This window comes from Homo sapiens, chromosome 2 (genome assembly GCF_000001405.40).
Source record: "Homo sapiens chromosome 2, GRCh38.p14 Primary Assembly".
Taxonomy (NCBI): domain Eukaryota; kingdom Metazoa; phylum Chordata; class Mammalia; order Primates; family Hominidae; genus Homo; species Homo sapiens.
This window is the reverse complement of record NC_000002.12, coordinates 228,006,937-228,032,387: the sequence shown is the minus strand read 5'-3', so window position 1 is coordinate 228,032,387 and position 25,451 is coordinate 228,006,937. Positions and strand designations below refer to the sequence as shown.

General features: G+C 40.0%; 1 protein-coding gene and 1 long non-coding RNA gene across 7 annotated transcripts in view, besides 1 other annotated feature; one reads left to right on the top strand and one right to left on the bottom strand.

The window, feature by feature from the left end:
* The window catches only part of LOC105373918 (uncharacterized), a 79,493-nt gene that overhangs the window by 9,707 nt on the left and 44,335 nt on the right, over positions 1-25,451 (bottom strand). Inside the window, exon 2 of the long non-coding RNA XR_001739908.2 lies at positions 5,269-5,407. This is a non-coding gene — a long non-coding RNA (uncharacterized LOC105373918). The remainder of the gene's footprint in view (positions 1-5,268; positions 5,408-25,451) is intronic.
* SPHKAP (SPHK1 interactor, AKAP domain containing) overlaps positions 1-25,451 on the top strand; it is a 201,733-nt gene that overhangs the window by 149,300 nt on the left and 26,982 nt on the right. For all 6 annotated transcript variants that reach the window (NM_030623.4, NM_001142644.2, XM_006712778.5 and 3 more), the window contains 4 exons: positions 4,845-4,904; positions 6,860-6,994; positions 10,422-10,677; positions 12,232-15,982. In NM_030623.4, coding sequence (NP_085126.2) covers positions 4,845-4,904; positions 6,860-6,994; positions 10,422-10,677; positions 12,232-15,982 — 4,202 coding nt within the window. The remainder of the gene's footprint in view (positions 1-4,844; positions 4,905-6,859; positions 6,995-10,421; positions 10,678-12,231; positions 15,983-25,451) is intronic.
* Positions 2,190-2,809: an enhancer, noted in NCBI's record as "OCT4-NANOG hESC enhancer chr2:228894295-228894914 (GRCh37/hg19 assembly coordinates)". NCBI's record gives its function as "activates a minimal SCP1, AML or CMV promoter by ChIP-STARR-seq in primed H9 embryonic stem cells {active_cell/tissue: H9 hESC(primed)}" and the evidence as "EXISTENCE:reporter gene assay evidence [ECO:0000049][PMID:30033119]".

Genomic DNA, 25,451 nt, shown 5'->3' with positions numbered 1-25,451 from the left:
CTTTTCACATAATGCCATATTTCTTGGAGGCTTTGTTCGTTTTTTTAATTCTTTTTTCTCTAATCTTCCCTTCTCGCTTCATTTCATTCATTTCATCTTCCATCAATGATACCCTTTCTTCCAGTTGATCGCATCAGCTCCTTAGGCTTCTGTATCCTTCATGTAGTTCTCGAGCCTTGGCTTTCAGCTCCATCAGCTCCTTTAAGGACTTCTCTGCGTTGGTTATTCTAGTTATCCATTCATCTAATTTTTTTTCAAAGTTTTTAACTTCTTTGCCATTGGTTTGAATTTCCTCCTGTAGTTCGGAGTAGTTTGATCGTCTGAAGACTTCTTCTCTCAGCTCATCAAAGTCATTCTCCGTCCAGCTTTGTTCCGTTGCTGGTGAGGAGCTGCGTTCCTTTGGAGGAGGAGAGGCGCTCTGCTTTTTAGAGTTTCCAGTTTTTCTGCTGTTTTTTCCCCATCTTTGTGGCTTTATCTACTTTTGGTCTTTGATAATGGTGATGTACAGAAGGGTTTTTGGTGTGGATGTCCTTTCTGTTCGTTAGTTTTCCTTCTAGCAGACAGGACCCTCAGCTGCAGGTCTGTTGGAGTTTGCTAGAGGTCCATTCCAGACCATGTTTGTCTTGGTATCAGCAGCGGTGGCTACAGAACAGCGGTGGCTGTAGAACAGCAGATCTTGGTGAACTGCAAATGCTGCTGCCTGATCGTTCTTCTAGAAGTTTTGTCTCAGAGGAGTATCTGGCCGTGTGAGGTGTCAGTCTGCTCCTACTGGGGGGTGCCTCCGAGTTAGGCTGCTCGGGGGTCAAGGACCCGCTTAAGGAGGCAGTCTGCCCATTCTCAGATCTCCAGCTGCGTGCTGGGAGAACCACTACTCTCTTCAAAGCTGTCAGACAGGGACATTTAAGTCTGCAGAGGTTACTGCTGTCTTTTTGTTTGTCTGTGCCCTGCCCCCAGAGGTGGAGCCTACAGAGGCAGGCAGGCCTCCTTGAGCTGTGGTGGGCTCCACCCAGATCGAGCTTCCTGGCATTTTTGTTTGCCTAATCAAGCCTGGGCAATGGCCAACACCCCTCCCCCAGCCTCGCTGCTGCCTTGCAGTTTGATCTCAGACTGCTGTGCTAGCAATCAGGGAGACTCCATGGGCGTAGGACCCTCTGAGCCAGGTGCGGGATATAATCTCCTGGTGTGCTGTTTTTTAAGCCCGTTGGAAAAGCACAGTATTAGGGTGGGAGTGACCCAATTTTCCAGGTGCCGTCTGTCACCCCTTTCTTTGACTAGGAAAGGGAACTCCCTGACCCCTTGCTCTTCCCAAGTGAGGCAACACCTCGCCCTCCTTTGGCTCATGCACGGTGCGCTGCATCCACTCTCTGGCACTCCCTAGTGAGATGAGCCTGGTACCTCAGATAGAAATGCAGAAATCACCCATCTTCTGCATCGCTCACACTGGGAGCTGTAGACCAGAGCTGTTCCTATTCGGCCATCTTGGCTCCACCCTCGTAAAACATATTTTCAATAAAAATCTGGAAGTTAAAAAATCAGTCAACCATGTCAGAGGAAAACTAGCTTATTTTTCTAGTTTCTCTAGAGAAGACAATATTTCAATATTGCTTTCACATGAAGAGGTGACCAAAGAGTAGTTAGTCAAAAATGTAAAAAAAAAAAAATATTATGGAGGTGCATTGGGCAGTCAATTAGATATCATATTCCTGGCAGTTTTTATGTTTTTAGTATTTGCCAGCCCTTTTAAGTTCTAGCTTTCTTGTAATTCCTTTTTTCCTTCTAAAGAAGTAAATATTCAGTCTCACACCTAATTTAGAATATTTTAATTTTTTTATTTTTTTTTTTTTGTTTTTTGTTGTTTTTTTTTTTTTTTTTTTGAGATGGTATCTTGCTCTGTTGCCAGGCTGGAGTGCAGTGGCGTTATCTTGGCTCACTTGCAACCTCTGCCTCCCAGCTTCAAGCGATTCTCCTGCCTCAGCCTCCTGAGTAGCTGGGAATACAGGTGTGCGCCACCACACCCGGCTGTTTTTTGTATTTTTAGTAGAGACGGGGTTTCACCACGTTGGCCAGGAGAGTCTCAATCTCTTGACCTCTTGATCCGCCCACCTTGGCCTCCCAAAGTGCTGGGATTACAGGCGTGAGCCACCGTACGCGGCCGTTATTCCATTTCTTAAAGAAGGCCTCCCCACATTGCATGCACATCAGGCCTTAAGAAGCCTGGATCATCCCCTACTATGAAGATATTGCAAGATGTGCATGAGAAGTATAAGCAAGAAGTTGGTTTGTGTCTTGCTTTGTTTTTATCTTGGTTCAGGTAGCAAATGTGGAGAGTGTCCTCCAGGTGTAGGTAGAGTTTCATATAGTAGCCTAAAATGGGTGAAAAGAGAGTTCATCCTCAGAAAACTAAAGAAAATGTTGGAGGGCAGACAAATTGCTACTATAGAGGCCTTTCTTTGCTCTCTGATCTCTGCTTTGCCCTCTGCCACTGTGATGCATGATAATAAAAGCTTTGTCATGCCCAGGAGCAAGGTAATGGGCCTTTCTTTAAGGTGAATGGAAAATCTTCTCATCAATTCAATACCACCAGTGCCAGCTGCATGTTATTAAAAGTCCCTGAGGACTGATGGATATTGAACTAGTTTTCCAAGGGCAAAGTTTCAATTATTATATGAATATTATCAAACTTCCCTAGATCATGAACTGCTTCTGAGCTCCATCTTCTATTTATGCTTCCATTTGCACTGTCTGCAAAGGGACTCATGCCAATTTCTTCCTATTTTTCCATCTTATTAACCCAGAGCAAAAAGAACTTCTGAATGGGAGTGTGGGTCCTTTCATGCCCTTTCTTCCCCCTAATGCCCATCAAGTTATTCTTAACAGGCAGATGGTGCATCCTAGGGTTGCACTTCAAGGATCTTGTGAGTCCATGAAACTTGAAGAAATCTCCTATTCTTTGGGACTAAAGCAGTAGTGATCTTTACACTTCTATTTCAGTTTTTAAGATCTTTCTCAAAACCTTTCCATTATTTTTTTAACCTCAAAAAGAAAAAAGATGGACTAAGAAACCATGATCCCAAAAAGTAACTAAGATCAGAAAGCCCCATATATTTGCAGGCATCTGAAAGTTCAAATGTCTAACTAAATTCCAGGTAATTAATGTTCTCAGTTTTGTAACATCAAATCAACTAGTTAGAAATAAAAACCTTTGGATGATTGCTAGCAAAGTATTAGAGAACCTCATTTGCATTTTCTCATTTAGCCCAAACCTAACTAGACCTAATTACCAACACTTCCCTTCCTCTAGGCCTGCCTGCAGTCAGATTCTCTTATTCCCTGTGGCTTGACAGCGTTACACTTTCTCACCTCAAAGTATTAATCATGCTGTCTGTCCAACCCACTAGTGATGGTCCCCACCCATTCCCTACCCAACAAAAGTCTTTTTATCTTTCAAAAACATAGCTAACCTCTTTGAAAACTTTAACTTTCTTTTCTCCAACCCCATCTGAATGCTCATAGTAGTTTTCTAACTATGTGGTATATTTGGGATTTAAATTACAGGCATGAGTCACTTACTGTTAGGGACATGTTATGAGAAATGCATGATTAGGTGATTTTGTCACTGTTTGAACATCATAGACTATACTTAGACAAGTCTAGATGACATAGCTTACTGTACCTGTAGGTTATATGGTATAACCTATTACTCCTAGGCTATAAACCTGTACAGCATGTTTCTGTCCTAAATACCACAGGCAACTGAAACACAATCATTAAGTATTTGTATATCTAAACATATGTAAACATAGAAAAGGTAAAAACAGTAAAAATACGGTATTATAATCTTAAAGGACCACTGTTGTATATGTGATCAGTTCTTGACCAAAATGTTGTTCATTATGCAACATATGACTTTATAACAATGTTTCACTGTTGTTCAGATTTATTGTTTAATATTATGGCTATTGTTTTTAGACTAACCCATTCAGACATTTATCCAACATAGCTAACAAAGAGGCAAATTGTATAACAAGGTTAAATAAAGTAAAATGAACTAAAACAATGTGGCAAAGAGGAGTCCTGGCTTATTATGCACTACATTAAAAGTGGGTAGAGAAAAGGAGCAAAAATGAGAAGAGGAAAGGAGAAAATAGAGAAAAGTATTTATTGCAATTACAAACAGAGGCTTAGAGCATAAAAAGTTATTTTTCCTATTTCATGAGATCTGATAACACCTTATAAACTTGAAGATTTTGTTGTAACTGTTCTATTGGCTCTAATACAAGCAGACTTTTTTAGTATGTTGGGCCATGAAAGGAAGCGGGCATTTGTTGTGACCAGTGGGAAGCTGAGCAGGGTGTTGGAGAGCTATTTGGAGGCTCAAAAGTGAAATTACTATTTCTTTTTTTCTTTTTTCTTTTTTTTTTTTTTTTCAGATGCAGTCTCACACTGTCGCCAGGCTGGAGTGGGCATGACCTCGGCTCACTGCAACCTCCGCCTCCTGGGTTCAAGCAATTCTCCTGCCTCAGCCTCCCGAGTAGCTGGGACTACAGGCGCGTGCCAACACACCCAGCTAATTTTTGTATTTTTAGTAGAGACAGTGTTTCACCATGTTGGCCAGGATGGTCTCGATCTCCTGACCTCGTGATCTGCCCGCCTTGGCCTCCTAAAGTGCTGGGATTACAACCATAAGCCACTGCGCCCGCCCTGAAATGACTATTTCTATGCCAAACTGTCTAAGATGTGGAAGACTCCCAAAGCATTTGCCCCAACTGATTCCTGCTTTCTTTCTTCTAAAAAGACAGTCAGGTTTTTGACTTTAACGTACTATTTTTGCCCTCTTTTCCCAGGTCTGCTTTGTGAATCTTGATGTGAACAAGGATGAATGCAGCACAGAGCACCTGCAACAGGTAACATTTGAAACTCAAGCTGACCGGGAGGTCATTACAAGGACTATTCAACTTGATTTCATCTGTAAATAATGCTCATTTTGTAGGAGACTCTTTAGTTAGATAGTTTCATTACAGGCCATTTCCCCGACCCTTTCCCTAGCACTTACCCTCTACCGTTTGCCCTTTTTACATTTGTGAAACTTGCTCTCCCATGTAGGCAGAACTGTCCAAACAGGCACACATCCTCTTGCCCATCAGTGCCTTAAAATGACTATTTGTAGATGACTTTTCTAAGAATTTTCCAAAACCTGCTGATACCAGCCAACCCTCCCCTCTGTCTCTCAGATTTGCTTCTTCCTGCTGCTTTCATCAAATGCTTTACCTGTACCCTTGGCTTGAACTTTTTGCATCCTGTTGCAGCTAAAATTCTCCAAGTGCATCCAAGGCAGTGAGGGCCCTGATGTAAATGCTTGACAGTATGCAAGGACTTGAAGATCTATTCAGTCCTCTGGAACAAGAGCCTGCTGATACAATGGGAAGAATTAAGTGCTGTAATAAGGTTGCCATTCCATGCTAAAACCTGACAATGGTTTGAATTTACCATTTGGTGTAATACTGTTTAATGTATAACAGCACACGATTTGCCACTTGATTTTCACAGAACAGTAGACCTGCAATTACTCGGTTACTGACAGTTATTCCCATATTGACAATGCTGCACTTCAAGCTTCTCAAACCCAGTTTCCCACACAGCTAATTGATTACAAATTTTCACCGAGCCCCAAATATCATCATATGTGTAGTACTATGGGATTTTCAAAAGAAATTACACATACAATTGTATTTGATAGAATTATGGTGCAGAGTCCATCAAAGAGCAGGGAGGGCCAAAGCAAGTTGGTATCTAAGAGTAGTGTGTTTGAAGAGTTTACGTGAGTGATTTGAAATAATTGTCTGCTATGGCTAAGAGCATGCAGACACCTTGGCACTGATTTAGCTATATGAACTGTGCAAGTTACTGGGCCTGGTCCTGAGGCTGCTTGTGTATAACATGAAAGGAATAATGGTACCTAATCCATGTAGGGTTATTGTGAAGATTAAATGTAGTCAGATTTAACATATATACAGGCTCTAGCATAGTGCTTAGTACACAGAGTAAAATCAATGCTAGTCACAATTTTATTATAATTATTATTATTCACAATTAGAAAAGAAGAGGTATTAGTCCATTTTCAGGATGCTGATAAACACATACCCGATACTGGGCAATTTACATAAGAAAGAGGTTTATTGGACTTATAAGAAAGAGGTTTATTGGATTTACAGTTCCACCTGGCTGGGGAGGCCTCACAATCATGATGGAAGGCAAGGAGGAGCAAGTCACATCTCATGTGGATGGCAGCAGGCAAAGAGAGAGCTTGTGCAGAAAAATTCCCACTTTTTAAAACCATCAGATCTCATGAGACCCACTCACTATCACAAGAACAGTGCAGGAGAGACTCGCCCCCATGATCCAATCATCTCCCACCAGGTCCCTCCCACAACACGTGGCAATTATAGCAGCTACAAGATGAGATTTGGATGGGGACACAGAGCCAAGCCATATCGGAAGATTATTAGTTAAAACAAAAAATGTTTTATGCAAGGTCTTAAAAGGGAAAATTTTTCCAAGTTACTGTTTATACCTGTGGTATGATAGTAATTACTATCATAATGTTTACTTTATGTTTACTTTGTAAAATGTTTACTTTTGTAAAATGTAGAACTAAAGAGTTTTTGAAGCTTATATTTTCTCTTTCAATCTAAACTTGCATGCTTCCATTTTATAAAATTTCTTCTAGTAAGAATCTTGGTAGATTAAGCAGTCTATATGTATGAGCAGTTATGAGTATTATTTCTGAAGGTAAAGTAGTTTGTGAGTAGTATTTGGTGAAAAGAAATCAGCTAAACTAATAAAGATTCTTGCTTTACAGAAACTGGTCAACGTTTCACCAGATCTTCCAAAACTTATCAGTTCCATGAATGTCCAACAACCAAAAGAAAATGAAATTGTTGTCCTAAGTGGGTTAGCCTCTGGAAATCTCCAGGCAGATTTTGAAGTTTCACAGGTAAGACATAAGTTCTTGATAAGCCATTTACTTACATCTATAGTTAGCTCAGCACAGATCAGTGTAAACCCCAAACAGATGCTACACATAAGCTTCTGTAACATAGGAATCAAAGTGTCTTTATATTTGAGAAAAGTCTGCATTTGTATTTCTCTTAAATAGAGCCACTTAGAGTTTGACAGAGCTTTTCTTACATCAACTCCTAATTTCTATTATCTTCTCAAATTCCTAAGTTGTATTTGAACTAGAGCAGATAGAGTAGGCATTGGTTACTTAGCTTGGTTTTCTACAAATCTACTGGATAAACAAAAACAGAATCATCTTCTCTTTTAGGAGCAGTATGAAAATTCTATTTCAGAATCCCACAATATCATCTTTCAGATGTTATGTATTCCTTAGGAGGTACCAAACTAGCCAAGCTAGTAAATCCAGGATGGCAGCTTCAAGGATGGAAAGAGAGTGTCTTGGGCCCAATAAATAAAATATCCCTCCTCCAAAACAAACGTTATTAAAAATAAACAGTAACTAAAATACTACTATTATCATTCCGTGCACTCATGTTCATTCCTATTATATAAATCACTATAACATTATTTATTTAAAGATATGTAAGTAAAATTGTTTAATTAATTAATTTACAAGAAAAATACACATAAAGTATATTACAGTGATATGTAACAGCTCCAGATTAAAATGATGAGCATTTGTTTTCCACAAATTGTTCTTCCTTGGGTTTTAATTTCACTGTCAATTTTTAAAGTCTTCTTTTATCCTTCAACTCTTCAAAATCTCAAAAAGCCCAAAAGTCTCCAAATTTCAAGAAACATAATACAGTGTGATAAATCAATTAATAAACGAGGAGGCTTTATTTCCAGGTAATCACATCTCCCTGACTTTGTAGCTACTAACAAGGCTTGTGTCCTATAAGTTTTACATGAATCCTAGGTAATTTGTGGCTTGTCAAATAATTGTACATTATGTCTTTGAGAGTGAAGATTTTATTCCCGTTTTCTTTCTAGAATTCACAGATTTAAAAAAAAAAAAAAAAAAACTGCCTCTGCATTATAGAACACTTTTCCTAGCTTTTGGCAAGTACAGGTATTACTGAGAAATTCCAGCTTTCTTTCAATATCTCTATGAAAATTGGTATTGACATTAATTGGACTTGACCTTGAGTTTAACTTACTAGACCCTGATTAATCCCAGTTAGGATTCTTAATTTAACATGGCAGAAAATAAGCTTAAGCAAAAAGAGAACATATTGTTTCATGTAACCAGAAAAATCCAGGAGTAGATTAGAGACTTAAACAATGTCATCAACACATGGATTTTTCTCTTGTGGCCTCTTTCCTGTTTTCTTTCCGTTGGCCCCATTATCAGACAAGCTCCTCCCACAAGGAAGCAATATCTTTTTGGGTTCAAGTCGGGAAAGAGTGAATGGGACGTCATTTCCAGGTGGTTTTCAGCAGAAGTCTCATTGCATCCTATTGGCTCTCATATGTCACATGCCCATTTCTGAACCAATCACTATGACCCAAGGAATGCATTATTCAGATTGGCCAGGCTTAAGTCACATGATCACCCCTGGCGCTGGAAGTGAATCAACTCCGTGTGAATCACTTGGACTCTGCTGAGGTTGACTCACTGATAGTATAGTGTGCCCTTCTCCCCAGAGCAATTGTCTGATTCATTTTTGCACCTCCTTGCATAATTTGCATACAATAGGCACTCGGAAAATGCACCTCCTTGCATAATTTGCATGCAATAGGCACTCGGAAAATACTGGGTAAGTTTCAGCTTAGTGTAGTGTGTCTAAACTCAGTGGAAAGAAAATTAAGCCAACTTCTGCTTACTCTACAACAGCAGTTCCTCTCCATTCGGGGGATCACAGATACTTTGTGAATTCAATAAAAGCTATGGACCAGTGGGTCTCAAATGCTAATGCATGTACACATCTCCAACAGATTCATTGGAAATGCAGATTCTGATTGAGTAGATCTGGGTTGAGGCCTGAGAGTAAATATTTCCAACAAGCTCCCTGGTGATGCCATGGCTGCAGGTCCATACCCACACTTAGAAAAGCAAGGCAATGGACCACCTTCTTTGAAAAATAGACCTAATCACATATGCATTTAGGGGAATTTTATTTTTGAGCCCCCAGGGGATTCCTAAACCCCTTGGAGAAGGATTGAATTTTTCATTTTATAATCATCTCTCCTAGAATTATTGGAACCTTTTATTACGATTCCAATGAGCAATAAATAATATGAATAGTGACAATGTGTAGTGGAGAATGAGGATATGGTTTGTAACCCTAGAACGGAACAGAATTAACAGGTCTGACTAGTACATGATTCTATAATTTGGGCCTCTTTATCACTGTTTTTCCCATACGCTGGTCTTTTAGAGATAATTAGTTCACTTCCTATGGATTTCATTTAATTTCATGTTGACTGCTTCTTCAGATAAGCAATACAAATTATAGAATCTAACTGTAGTTGATAGAACACTTACTGTACATCTGAAGTACTAGTAGTAGAGGTTTTACTGAGTATCTTCAAGGCAGAGAAAGATACTGATCTGAGAAACTGGGACTCAATTTAATCAAGAGAGGTAACCAAGACAGCGTTGACATTCCCTTCAGCTTGACCAAAATTTAGACAGGCTCCTTCCTGACTCTAGACCCTGACTTCCCTTTTCTTAGAGCATTTAATCTAGAAAATTTATAATTGTAAATTCCTCCTGTGCCTTTTTGAGATGTAAATCCTTTTGTAAAAGCCTCTTGCCAGCTTTATACCCAGAAATGTCTTTCTCAAGGACCTGGGAGCTGTCTCTTTGAAATGTAATCATCAAGGAAGATAGTTCCCTTAAAGTCCCCAGTCTTTATGGGAGCATGAGAACCTAACTTCACTGGGCATCTTGCTCCAGGTTGTAAAACTACCTCCTGTCATAAAGATACAAGAAAGTTTACTGTTTCTTTGGGTAAAGCCAATTATCAAACACAGATGACCTATGATCTCCCCCATCACTCTAGCCCTTAAAAACCCTATTGCCTTTTGTTTCAGTGGAGTTGTGGTCCAACTTAATTCTGGCCTCTCTTCCCTATTTTAATAGCCTCAAATAAAAATCTTCTTTGCCTGTTTAACTTTACCCAGTTGAATTTTTGCTTTGACCAAGGGAAATTAAAATATGTGATACAGCCGATCTATTTTTCCCTAAGTCAGGCTTTCTCCTAGGTACCTTGTGTTCCAAACATCACTTGAATTTTTTTCAAGCAGTTTATTAATATAATTCCAGAAGACATTTCAAATATTTTAAAGGTCCCCACTCCTATTAACAGGAGAGCTTGGTGGAAAAGGAAAGCTCAGAGGCAATAGTCTTTTATTTTCCCTTTTGAATAAATGCCTTCTTTTCTCTCCACTTTTAGTGCCCTTGGCTGCCAGATATCTGCTTGGTCCAATGTGCAAGAGGGAACAGACCAAACAGTACCAACTGCATCATCTTTGAAATCAACAAATTTCTGATTGGTCTGGAACTGGTGCAGGAGCGACAGCTCCACCTGGAAACAAACATCTTGAAACTGGAGGATGACACGAACTGTTCCTTATCTTCAATCGAGGAAGACTTTCTCACCGCTTCTGAGCACTTGGAGGAGGAAAGCGAGGTGGATGAATCTAGGAACGGTGAGAACTTTCCAATTAGTGCCTCCTGAAATTAGTCCCCGTATAAAAATGTCTTGGTGAGATTTCAGAAAAGTTCCAGGCCACATCAGTTTGGCTGACACATCACAGTCTTTACTTGCTGAATTTTAAGGAAGGAAGGAAGGAGGATATGAGAACACTGGTGAAGATACTGACAAACTCACTTAGCGGACTTAATGGTTGGATGGATCCAGACTCCCAAAAGATGCCTTAGGCATACTGAAGGGAATTTGTGTACTTTAAAGGAAAATCCTCCTGCCTGCCAAGAGATGGAGGCTATCACTGGGAGGAAAGTTAACTTCCCTAAGACTTCCATAAAAGCCATATATTAGTTGAAGCCAAGTTGGACCAGCCTGGATTTGAATCCCAGCACTGCCACATTGAGGCTGTGAGATCTGGCGCCAGTTATCTAATCTTTCCTAGCCTAGTTTGTTTGTCTAATTTGGGAGTACGATCATGCCTATAGCTAATGATTTTTGTGAAGACAGAAAGAGATAATCCAGGAAAGTGCTTAGTACCCATTTATTCAGCTCTTCCTGTTGACCCATTCACAGAGCTCAATGAACAATGCGTTCCTCCTCCCCACTTTTAGCCACAGAGGAAGGGGTACCCCAGATGTTGTTGCCACTGTCCCTGGGACAAGTCTCATGCAAACTTTAGAACAAATCTTTGCAGCAAGTCCCACTACTGAGGTTGCCGTAAACATCCTCCCTTCTCCTTCTGTACCCACTGGGAAGCTCTAAGATGCAACTGTCTGGGTTGCTTTCCCCTGAAAAATGGTGGCAGCCCTCAGCCCTCAAACATCTCCTACTTGCATTTGTATCCCATATGGAAAGCCATTTTGTTGGGTGGCATTCTATCATGAAATTTGAAAGCCTTTTCAGATTCATTTTTCTTGAGGAAAACCATTCAAACTGTTATTCTTGAAGGGGGAAAAAAAGTCAATGCTTTATTTTTATTTATTTATTTTATTTTTATTATACTTTAAGTTCTAGGCTACATGTGCACAACATGCAGGTTTGTTACATATGTATACATGTGCCATGTTGGTGTGCTGTACCCATTAACTTGTCATTTACATTAGGTATATCTCCTAATGCTAGCCCTCCCCACTCCCCCCGCCAACAACAGGCCCTAGTGTGTGATGTTCCCCACCCTGCATCCAAGTGTTCTTATTGTTCAATTCCCACCTATGAGTGAGAACATGCGGTGTTTGGTTTTCTGTCCTTGTGATACTTTGCTCAGAATAATGGTTTCCGGCTTCATCCATGTCCCTACAAATGACATGAACTCATCCTTTTTTTATGGCTGCATAGTATTCCATGGTGTATATGTACCACATTTTCTTAATCCAGTCTATCATTGATGGACATTTGGGTTGGTTCCAAGTCTTTGCTATTGTGAATAGTGCTGCAATAAACATATGTGTGCATGTGTCTTTATTGATGTTTTATTTTTAGAAAGTAATTATTACTTAAGACTTATGGTAACCTGCTATCCAAAAAGTAATAGTGCCCCTCATTTTCTCCTCACTAGATTATGAAAATATAAATGTCTCAGCCAATGTTTTGGAAAGTAAACAGCTAAAGGGAGCCACCCAGGTGGAATGGAATTGCAACAAGGAAAAGTGGCTTTATGCTTTGGAAGACAAATACATCAACAAATATCCCACACCATTGATTAAAACAGAACGATCTCCAGAAAACCTAACAAAGAACACAGCCTTGCAGAGTCTAGATCCCTCAGCCAAGCCATCACAGTGGAAAAGAGAAGCTGTGGGGAATGGGAGACAAGCCACACATTATTATCATTCAGAAGCTTTTAAAGGTCAAATGGAAAAATCACAGGCACTGTATATTCCAAAAGATGCTTATTTCTCCATGATGGATAAAGATGTACCTTCTGCATGTGCTGTGGCAGAGCAGAGAAGCAACCTAAACCCAGGAGACCATGAAGACACAAGAAACGCTCTCCCTCCTAGACAAGATGGAGAAGTCACCACTGGCAAGTATGCTACAAATTTAGCAGAATCCGTGCTGCAGGATGCATTTATTAGATTATCTCAATCTCAGTCCACATTACCCCAGGAATCTGCAGTCAGTGTTTCTGTAGGAAGTTCTCTGCTTCCCAGTTGCTATTCCACAAAAGATACAGTGGTTTCTCGGTCATGGAATGAGCTCCCCAAAATCGTCGTTGTTCAGAGTCCAGATGGCAGTGATGCTGCCCCACAGCCAGGCATCTCCTCCTGGCCTGAGATGGAAGTCTCTGTTGAAACCTCAAGCATCCTCTCTGGAGAGAACTCCAGCAGACAACCCCAGAGTGCTCTAGAAGTGGCGTTAGCTTGTGCAGCCACTGTGATTGGAACTATTTCCAGTCCACAGGCCACAGAAAGACTCAAAATGGAGCAAGTGGTCTCGAACTTTCCCCCAGGGAGCAGTGGTGCACTGCAAACTCAAGCACCCCAAGGACTCAAGGAACCTTCCATCAATGAGTACTCCTTTCCATCTGCTTTGTGTGGCATGACTCAGGTGGCCAGTGCCGTGGCTGTCTGTGGTCTGGGTGAAAGAGAAGAGGTGACATGCTCAGTGGCTCCAAGTGGTAGCCTCCCGCCTGCAGCTGAGGCTTCTGAAGCCATGCCCCCACTTTGTGGTTTAGCAAGCATGGAGCTTGGCAAGGAAGCCATTGCCAAGGGATTGCTCAAGGAGGCTGCTCTGGTTTTAACAAGGCCTAATACCTACAGCAGCATTGGAGACTTTCTGGACTCCATGAACAGGAGAATCATGGAAACTGCTTCAAAGTCTCAGACCCTGTGCTCAGAAAATGTCGTCAGGAATGAACTGGCACATACCCTGTCCAATGTTATCCTGAGGCATTCCATTGATGAAGTTCACCACAAAAATATGATAATCGACCCCAATGACAACAGGCATTCATCTGAAATTCTGGACACCTTAATGGAAAGTACAAATCAACTGCTTTTAGATGTGATATGCTTCACGTTCAAGAAGATGAGTCATATTGTACGGCTTGGTGAATGTCCTGCTGTCCTTTCTAAGGAGACCATCAGAAGGAGGGAGACAGAACCAAGCTGCCAGCCATCTGATCCGGGTGCTAGTCAAGCTTGGACAAAAGCCACTGAATCCTCCAGCAGCTCTCCACTTAGCAATTCACACAACACGAGTCTTGTCATCAACAATCTTGTGGATGGCATGTATTCAAAACAAGACAAGGGTGGAGTGAGGCCAGGCCTCTTCAAGAACCCCACGCTGCAGTCACAATTATCACGTAGTCACAGAGTGCCCGATTCTTCAACTGCTACAACATCCTCCAAGGAAATATATCTGAAAGGAATAGCAGGAGAGGATACAAAAAGCCCTCATCACAGTGAGAATGAATGCAGAGCCTCTTCCGAAGGACAAAGGTCCCCAACGGTCAGCCAGTCCAGAAGTGGTTCCCAGGAGGCTGAGGAGAGTATCCACCCAAACACCCAAGAAAAGTACAACTGTGCCACATCTCGCATCAACGAAGTTCAAGTCAACCTGTCCTTGTTAGGGGATGACCTGCTGCTTCCTGCTCAATCCACGCTTCAAACAAAGCATCCAGACATCTACTGCATTACAGACTTTGCGGAAGAATTAGCAGACACGGTCGTCTCCATGGCAACTGAAATTGCAGCGATTTGCCTTGACAACTCCAGTGGAAAACAACCCTGGTTTTGTGCATGGAAAAGAGGGAGTGAGTTTCTGATGACACCCAACGTACCCTGCCGATCCTTGAAGAGGAAGAAAGAGAGCCAGGGGAGCGGGACCGCTGTGAGGAAACACAAGCCTCCCCGGCTCAGTGAGATCAAGAGGAAGACGGACGAGCACCCTGAGCTTAAAGAAAAGCTGATGAACAGGGTTGTGGATGAGTCCATGAACCTTGAAGATGTCCCAGATTCTGTCAATCTTTTTGCCAATGAAGTGGCAGCCAAGATCATGAACCTAACGGAGTTCTCTATGGTGGACGGCATGTGGCAGGCGCAGGGCTATCCCCGGAATCGGTTACTGAGTGGCGACAGGTGGAGCCGGCTGAAGGCCTCCAGCTGCGAAAGCATTCCTGAGGAAGACTCCGAGGCCAGGGCCTATGTCAACAGCCTGGGCTTAATGAGCACGCTGAGCCAGCCGGTCAGCAGGGCCAGCTCTGTCTCCAAGCAGTCGAGCTGTGAGAGCATCACCGATGAGTTTTCCAGGTTCATGGTGAACCAGATGGAAAATGAAGGGAGAGGATTTGAGTTACTGCTGGATTACTATGCTGGCAAGAACGCCAGCAGCATTCTGAACTCAGCCATGCAACAGGCGTGCCGGAAAAGTGACCACCTCAGTGTGAGGCCTAGCTGTCCCTCTAAGCAGTCCAGCACAGAGAGCATCACTGAGGAGTTCTACAGGTACATGCTGAGGGACATCGAAAGAGACAGCAGAGAAAGTGCCTCCTCCAGACGGAGCAGCCAGGATTGGACAGCCGGCCTGCTGTCTCCTTCTCTGCGATCCCCAGTGTGCCACAGACAGTCGTCCATGCCAGACAGCAGATCCCCATGCTCCAGGCTGACAGTGAATGTGCCCATCAAAGCCAACTCTTTAGATGGCTTTGCTCAGAACTGCCCACAAGATTTCCTAAGCGTGCAGCCGGTCAGTAGCGCGTCCTCATCCGGTCTCTGCAAATCTGACTCTTGCTTGTATCGGAGAGGTGGGACTGACCACATCACCAACATGTTAATTCATGAAACGTGGGCTAGCTCCATTGAGGCTCTCATGCGCAAGAACAAAATCATTGTGGATGATGCAGAGGAAGCTGACACTGAGCCTGTTTCTGGTGGCTCTCCCTCGCAAGCAGAGAAGTGTGCAAATAGATTAGCTGCGAGCAGGATGTGCAGTGGGCCAACTCTGCTTGTTCAGGAGTCTCTCGATTGCCCGAGGAAAGACTCTGTTACCGAATGTAAACAGCCCCCAGTGTCATCTTTGAGCAAAACTGCTTCTCTTACAAACCACAGCCCTTTAGATTCTAAAAAAGAAACTTCCTCGTGCCAGGACCCTGTACCAATAAACCACAAAAGGCGATCACTTTGCTCGAGGGAAGTGCCTTTGATTCAGATTGAAACAGATCAGAGAGAAGCCTGTGCTGGGGAACCTGAACCCTTCCTTTCCAAAAGCAGCCTCCTAGAGGAAGCAGAAGGGCATTCGAATGACAAAAACATCCCAGATGTGGTGAGAGGTGGAGACACAGCCGTGAGCGCTTGTCAAATCCATAGGTGAGTGAATCGTCTCAGACTACATAGGGTGCATGTGACTGGAGTTTGCGTCTTAATCAGTGTTTAGTCTAAATTTTAGACATAAAGGATTTGATTGGTGCAAGAACTAAATTTTCAAGACCAAAAAAAAAAAAAATGAGTTAATGAGTGCAGCACACCAACATGGCACATGTATACATATGTAACAAACATGCACGTTGTGCACATGTGCCCTAAAATTTAAAGTGTAATAAAAAAAAAATGATCTCCTAGGTTAATATGCATTTATGATAGAGAGTTGAAAGTAAATCTCTTCTTAAAATCTCCAAAACTAACTAAACTCATCTATATAACCAAAGAAGTAAGATATCATTCCTCCCATTAAAATTAATCTCCTACGGTTTCCTACCTTTTAAAATTCATTCATGGCAATTTTTAAGCAAATAATAATATTAATAGTATATGATGCAATAATATTAATAATAAATGATGCAACTTATTCATTTGAAAACAGTCAAATAAATATTAGTTTTGGCATTTGACATTAAATATTTTGGCATCATTTTTCTCTCCTCTCATTTTTCTTCTCCATAGAGTCTCTCCTTTCAAGTTTTGCTTTCTGTTTTTGTTTTTTGTCTTTTTCTAAAGATCTTGCCAAGGACACTGTGTCCTAGAAGGGCTGCCCTTTAGATGCCTGGTATAATTCTAGCAGTGTAAATGCAAAGCAACACTGAAGTATTGTTATTTAAACAGCTTTTTCCAGAAAATTATGACATAGTTGACAATCCATTTTGAATTTGACGCAAGGTAATAATTTCTCTGAGGCTGCTTAAAGAACTCTCCATTCCTTTTACACCTTATATTTTCTGTAGAAAATTTATAAGATTCTTGAATATGAGACCATTGTATCATTTCTTTAGCTTTGGTTTGTAGTTAAACAAAACAGGATCTAGAACTAGAAATACCATTTGACCCAGCCATCCCATTACTGGGTATATACCCAAAGGACTATAAATCATGCTGCTATAAAGACACATGAACACGTATGTTTATTGCAGCACTATTCACAATAGCAAAGACTTGGAACCAACCCAAATGTCCAACAATGATAGACTGGATTAAGAAAATGTGGCACATATACACCATGGAATACTATGCAGCCATAAAAAAATGATGAGTTCATGTCCTTTGTAGGGACATGGATGAAATTGGAAATCATCATTCTCAGTAAACTATCGCAAGGACAAAAAACCAAACACTGCATGTTCTCACTCATAGGTGGGAATTAAACAATGAGAACACATGGACACAGGAAGGGGAACATCACACTCTGGGGACTGTTGTGGGGGAGGGGGGAGGGGGAGGGATAGCATTAGGAGATATACCTAATGCTAAATGACAAGTTAATGGGTGCAGCACACCAGCATGGCACGTGTATACATATGTAACTAACCTGCACTTTGTGCACATGTACCCTAAAACTTAAAGTATGATAATAATAATAAAATTAAATTTAAAAAACAGGAAAACAAAATAAAAAATTAAGCTACTGGGCTTGGAAAACCTAAGTTGGAGAAGTCTTTTCAGAGACATATGCCTATATTGTTTATTATTTACCAAGAGTGGCAGCCAACAAGTTGAACACAGCCTTCATCAAATTTCAGCAGCTTTCTGAAAATTCTTGATACTTTTCCACTTCCACCAGGGAAGGAGAAGGGATTCATCCTCAGGTACCAGTGCTCCCCATTAGAGGACATCATTACTGGTGTGGTTATGGTTGAGTGTATTTGGTACATAGTGTCTAGGTGGATTTAAATATTTCTTTTTTAGCCACTCAGTACTAAGAACTTAACTTTCCAATTGGATGAAATCCTGGAAGAATAAGGAGAAAGCATGAAAACGTAAAAGCAAAAGAACACAAAGCTAAATCAAATGAGGTAGGCAGAGCTAACCAAAAAGACACATTTTTATACATCAGTAGTTCTCCAGTTATAGACAATATTTATCAAAGCATTTTATCTAGGTCGTTTGGAGAATTACAAATTTTTTAAAGTGATCAGAGTTAAAAAAACAAATTAGCTCATGTGTAATTCTTTAGAATTCCCTTAACCTGAAATACAAGAAAATGGAAAACCCTTCTTAGAGAATCCAGATGCCTGACTTGGAGTCTTCTTTAACACAGATATCTTAAACCCAGCTAAGATTTTTAACCAAAGAGTGGCTAGTTAGGGAATGTTCATGAAATAGTAGTTCAACAAGATTTATGATTGTAGGCTGAGATCAAATAGCAATTGTCACTGAAGTTGAATAAAATTCATAATACAATTATGAATTAAATGTCACTGATATTATCCTTAAAATAGGTACAATTCAATGCTTTTTCCAAAATATACTGGAAATATGTATGAATAAAGTCCCCAAATGACTTAGGTTTGTATTACATAGAATGGCCCAAGAACACACCCTCTCAAATCATGATTTCTGGTTTGGTTTTCCACCAATAAAACAGGAAAGAATGTGGAGTCATCCACCCTAGAAATTCAAGACCTACATCTGCTTCCAAAACATAAGGACTAAATATTGAAAATGCTTTTCTTTGTGGAACAATATAAAGAATTATTAAAGAACATGGATTTCACTAACCTTGTAACTATGAGCAACTTCTCTGTTTACCAAGGTTTACTCACCTATAGGTAGGAATAATAATTATCTTATAAGAGGATCTTTAAGGTTTTAATAAGGAAATGCACATAAATCTCTCAACTCAGGGCCTCGCCTGTTGTAATAAATGCTTGCTTTTTGGTTGTTGTCATTGCTGTTTGGAGTTAGGGTATATGATTACCCTTATTCCAGGAAATTTTTTCCGAAAGAAGTATCTTAAAAGCTGGGCATGGTGGCTCACGCCTATAATCCAAGCACTTTGGGAGGCCGAGGCAGATGGATCACGAGGTCAGGAGTTCAAGACCAGCCTGGCCAAGGTGGTGAAACCCTGTCTCTACTAAAAATACAAAAATTAGCCAGGTGTGGTGGAGGGCACCTTCCCAGCTACTTGGGGGGCTGAGACAGAGAATTGCTTGAACCTGGGAGGTGGAGGTTGCAGTGAGCCGAGATCGTGCCTCTGCACTCCAGCCTGGGTGACGGGGCAAGACTCTGTCTCAAAAAAAAGAAAAAGGAATATCTTACAAACACTGTGAAGATTTTATTAAAACGAGGATTTCCAGGATTTGCTAGAGGGAAAATTAACCATATTTAGATTACATTTTCTAAGCTCAGAGATGTTATGGGATTTGATTAGTCAAATAGCTAAGTACAAAACTCACTTCTCTGTGAAACAGTTCTACTCCCTTATACACAAACAAGGTAAGTGGCATATGCACTCTTAATTTTGTTTGGAGATGGGGAGGTGTCATGTCCTGAAAATAATTTTAGGCTACTTTCTTTAGGCATGTTTTCATGATTCTTACTTTAAAAAAAGTTATTTACGCTCAATATACTGAAATAAAAATCACTTTCTTACTTTTTTGATAAAAGAATAACAACTTCAGAATTTATTGGACTTCTTGATAAGTTGAGACCACAAAGTATAAACAACAAACTGACAATTCTGAGCATTCACATGCTATACTTACTGACATAATCTTAAGTTTTAGAAACATATTTTAGGTGCTGTATCCATTTATATTTGCTTCAAGAAAAAAAATTATTCATCCAACAAATATTTGAGTGCTTATTCTGACAAGCAGTTGGCCTTGGGGCTGAAAACACAGAAGAAAATAGAAAGACTTGATATCTACTCTCATAGTTCTTACACACTAGTGGGAGAGACAGGGAGAGTACATAGGAAAACCTTTCAAAAAAATATTATTGTACAGTGTGATGAGAAAAAATAAAAAATAATGTGGTAGCAAATGACTGGTAGGGAAAGTGGCTACTTAGATAGGATGTTGGCATTGAGATGAGACCTAAACGAAGAGAAGGTGCCAGCCGTGAGAAGAACTAGAGTGAAAGACTTGCATTTTAAGCATTATGGTGATCTAGCCAGCCCGAAAAATGTTCCCACTATGAATCACCTAGAAATCCTGGATTAAGTATAATAAACATCCTTTTAGGTATGAAGCTGATCTTTTTTTTTAAAGGAAGACAAGCAAGGAAGACAAGCAAATAAGCTTTAGTGATCTATTGCCCAGAATGGTGAATGTAATAAATAACAATGCATTGTATATTTCTTTCTTTCTTTCTTTTTTTTTTTTTTTTTTTTTTTTTGAGGTAGAGTCTCTGTCACCCAGGCTGGAGTGCTGTGGTGCAACCATGGCTCACCGCAGCCCCAACCTCCAGGGCTCAAGCAATCCTTCCTTCTCAGCCTTTCAAGCAGCTGAGACTATAGGTGTGCACCACCATGCCTGCCCAATTTTTTAATTTTTTTGTGGAGATGGAGATGTCATTCTGTTGCCCAGGCTGGTCTCAGACTCCTGGGCTCAAGTGATCCTGCCACCTCAGCCTCCCAAAGTGCTGGTAGTACAGGTGTGAGCCACTGGGCCTGGCCTGTATATTTCAAAACTGTTAAAAGATTAGATATTAAATATTTTCACCACAACAAAATATAAGTATGTGAGGTGCTAGATTTTTTAATTAGCATGACTTAATCATTCCACAAAGTAAAACTATATGAAAACATCACAGTATACCCCGTATAATAGATACAATTACTGTCAATTAAAAAAATTGACAAGCAAGTGTGATATATTCCCCATGGATTTGGATGTTTGGTACCCCTGTCTAAAACAGCAGCCCCTAAGAACCCTTATCTGGAGAGATGGAAACAGAATGCTGTCTGCCATTTATGATTTACCCTCATTTCTATATTCTCAGGAATTATTTTATTTACCCTTATTTGCAAGGCTAATCTTAACAATAGTAATTATAGAAATTTCAGAGGTTAAAAAAGGAAAGAATTTGAAAAGGTAGTAAATTAAAGCTGACTCTGTGCTTGCCCTTGAGGGCATCTACCAGTCTCTGTAGCCTAAAAATTCATTTTCTAAAGGCTAGTGGAAACCAGGAAATGAGGGTCTGCGAATGGTGAAGACTTGGAACTGAGGCAGACTTCCACATCCTGAAGGGTTACAACCTCAGTAAAGGTGTGAACTATGGAAAAAGTTCACCCACCAGAAGAGTGAACTGATTAAAAAAAAAAAAAAAAGGCATCTTTGAGGGTTCAAGCTCTGGATACGAGGAGAAAACAATCCCCTTGAGAATTTATAACCACAGCTTACCCTAATGCATTTTTGTCATTCTAATTTGCATTATACTTGTGGTCCAGGAAATCCCAAGCTGGTAAGTTACCTTAAAGCAATCTCAGGTTAACAACCCTGTGAGAGCTTGGCAGAGACAAAAGTAAAATCTCTGGAGAGTTAAGCCCAGTCTTAAAGGATTTCAACAAATAAAGCCCCATCAAGTATAAGCTCAGAGTCTTAAACTGAAAGACACACAAGGAATCAAGGCACTGTAAGAAAGACTCAGCACAAACATGAAGAGGCAGAATTAGCCCTATCGAAGTTCTCAGACACTGGAATTATTAAATACAGAATGTAAAGTACTTATGTTTAATATTTGGAAAAAATGAGACATACAAAATAGGAGCAAGAAACAAACTACCATCAGAATAGAATAAGGTAGATATAAAAATCAATAAAATACTACCACAAAGACGAAAAGTATAATGAAATTAAAAACCACTAGATAGAAAAACGTATTAATTATTGAAATCAAAACCACAATGGCATACCTACAGAGAGAGCTTTAAAGATAAATGTGAAAGGTCTTCTGTTTCTACTCACAATGAAGTTATTGAAACTCAACTTGCCCTCCATCCGTGAACAATTGTTTTCTTTTGTTTTTGAGATGGAGTTTCGCTCTGTCACCCAGGCTAGAGTGCAGTGGTGCGATCTCGGCTCACTGCAATCTCTGCCTCCCAGCTGCAAGCGATTCTCCTGCCTCAGCCTCCCGAGTAGCTGGGACTACAGGCACATGCCACCACACCCAGCTAATTTTTCTTTCGTATTTTTAGTAGAGACGGGGTTTCACCATGTTGGCCAGGCTGGTCTTGAACTCCTGACCTCAGGTGATCCACCTGCCTCTGCCTCCCAAAATGCTGCGATTATAAGCATAAGCCACTGTGCCTGGCCCATCCATGAATAATTTTTTTAATGGTCAGAATTAAACAACTGATTTCATACATTGTACAACAAGCAGCACATTGAGCGAAGGGAAACAAACGTGATTAGCCCTATAATTGCCCTCACTTTGTATCTGGATTGCCTTTTCAGACAATAATGCCAAGAGGGAAATCCTGAGCAGAGTTCAGTGGGCACAATGAGGTGAGGAGACACAGACTAGAGGGAGATATGCAGAGAAAGAAGAGGAATCTGCACAGGAAGCCTCTTGACCTGTTGCTGGACACTGAGGCATGAATCTATAGGTACAGCCCCATGACGCTAGAGAATTGTAAGCTGGACAATGCCACAAGCTCGCATAGTACTGGAAGATGTTTAGTCCCAACTAGCCAGAGTGAAGAATCCATGTTACATACACACAGTACTTAGTAGAGACCCTAAAAACATCACATCATAGAATTAAAGCTAAACTAGCCCTAAAAATAAAGGCTAATCTACACTTGTTCTAACACAACTTAAAAGCAAGCATCAAAAATATCAAGCTGAACTGAAACTAATTTAACCTGGAATAAAGTTCAACATTGTTTAAAGAAAAGACAACAAAATCTAGTACTCAACAACATAAACTTGCAATGTAACATCCAAGCAAAAAATGCTACACAAAGAAGAAGAAAAATATCACTCATTATAAGGAGTATAATCATCAAAAGAAACATATCCAGAAATTACAGAGAAGATGAAATTAGCAGACAAGGACTTTGAACGAAGGGAAACAAACATGATAAAGAAATTAAATATCTCTTATAAATATGCCAAAAGATTTAAAGGTACACACGAATGTAAGACTTGATGAAAGTTATAAACTCACAAATTAAGAAATATAACTCTAAGCAGGATCAACAGAAAGAAAATCACATCAAGGCACATGATAATCAAATTATTAAAAGCAAATCATAAAGAAATTGTCTTAAAAGCAGCCCAGAGAAAAAGAAACATTATATACTAAGAAGCACAAATAAAACTGCAGATTTCTTATCAGAAACAATGTAAGATAAAAGACAAAGTATGACAACTATACTATGCTGAAGGAGAAAAAAACTGTCAGCCTAGTATACTTTATCCAGCAAAAATTCCTTCAAAAATAAAGGCTATTCGTTAATAGGAAGATTCAATATTTTCATGATGTCAGTTCTTCCCAGTTGAATCTATAGATTCATTACAATCCCAATCAAAATCCCAGCAAGTTATTTTGCAGATATCAACAAACTAATTCCAAAGTTTGTATGGAGACCAAAAGACCAAGAATATTGAACACAAGATTGAAGAGGAAGAACAAAGTTAGAGGATTGAGACTACCTGACATGATGATTTACTCTACAGCTATAGTAGTCAAGAGAGTGTGGTATTGGCAAAATCAAGCAATGGAACAGAATAGAGAGCCCAATAATAGACACCCACAAATAGAGTCAATGGATCTTTGACAAAGAAACAAAGGCAATATATTGAAGAGAAGATAGTCTCTTCAATAAACAGTACAGAAACAACTGGACATTTACATGCAAAAAAAAAAAAATGAATCCAGACACATTACACCATTTGAAAAAATAACACGAATGGATCACAGACCTAAATGTAAACACAAAGCTATATAACTCCTGGAATGGCTGGGAGCAGTGGCTTAAGCCTATAATCCCAGCACTTTGGGAGGCCAAGGTGGGTGGATCACCTGAGGTCAGGAGTTTGAGACCAGCCTGGCCAACATGGTGAAATGCTGTCTCTACTAAAAATACAAAAATTAGTTGGGTGTGATGGTGTGCCTATAATCCCAGCTACTTGGGAGGCTGAGACAGGAGAATCTCTTGAACCTGAGAGGTAGAGTTTGCAGTGAGCTGAGATTGCACCACTTCACTCCAGCCTGGGTGACAGAGCAAGACTCTCTCGCAGGAAAAAAAAAAAAAAAAACTCCTAGAAGATAATGTAGGAGAAAAATCTAGATGGATTGTGGGTATGGCAATGACATTTTTGATACACCAAAGGCACAATCTATAAAAGAAAGGCTTGATAAAATAGACTTTATTAAAATTAAAAACTTTTGCTCTGTGAAAGACACTGACAAGAGAATGAGAAGAGATAAGCCACAGATTGGGAGAAAATATTTCTAAAATACATATCTAATAAAGGACTATTACCTGAAATATACAAAGAACTCTTAAAACTCAACAACATAAAGATAAAAACTTTAAAAACTCATTTTTAAATCAGTTTAAGTCAAGGAGTTTTTCAGCTATGTTTTCTTCTAGTAGTTTTATACTTTTAGTCCTTACATTTAAGTATTTAATCCATTTTTAGTTGATTTTTATATAAGAGGTGAGAAAAGGGTCCATTTTTAGTCTTCTCTATGTGGCTATCCAGTTTTCCTACACCATTTATTGATGAGACTATCCTTTCTTCATTATGTGTTTTTGGCACCTTTGTCAAAAATCAGTTGATCATAGATATGTGGGTTTCTTTCTGGAATCTCTATCCTATTACACTGGTCAATGTGTCTGTTTTTATGCCATTGCCATCCTGTTTTAATTACTATTGCTTTGTAATATATTTTGAAATCAGGAAATTCTGTCATTTGTGACAACATGAATGAACCTAGAGGATGTTATGTTAAATGAGATACGCCAAGCACTGAGAGACAAATACAGTCTGATCTCACGTATGGAATCTTAAAAAGTCAAACTCATAGAAGGAGAGAGTAAAATGATGATTTCCAGAGGCTGGGGACTGGGGGAGGTGGACAGAGAAAGGAAAATTCTAGTCAATAGGTAAAAAGCTATAGTTAGACAGAACATGTTCTGGTGCTCTATTGCACAGAAAGGTGACTACAGTTAATAATAATGTATGATATATCTCAAAATAGCTAAAAGAGAAGGTTTTAAATGTTCTCATCAAAAATATAAATATTTGGCATGATGGATATTCTTATTACCCCAATTTAATCATTCCACAGTATATACATATATCAAATTATTGTATCGTACCCCATAAATGGATGTAATTATTATTTGTCCATTAAGGATAGTACAAAACTTGAAAAATGATCAAAAGCAGTTCCAAGATGGCTGAATAGGAACAGCTCCAGTCTGCAGTTCCCAGCGTGAGCGATGCAGAAGACAGATGATTTCTGCATTTCCAACTGAGCTTTGAAGAGAGTAGTGGTTCTCCCAGCATAGAGTTGGAGATATGAGAATGGACAGACTGCCTCCTCAAGTAGGTCCCTGACCCCCGAGTAGCCTATCTGGGAGGCATCCCGCAGTAGGGGAAGACTG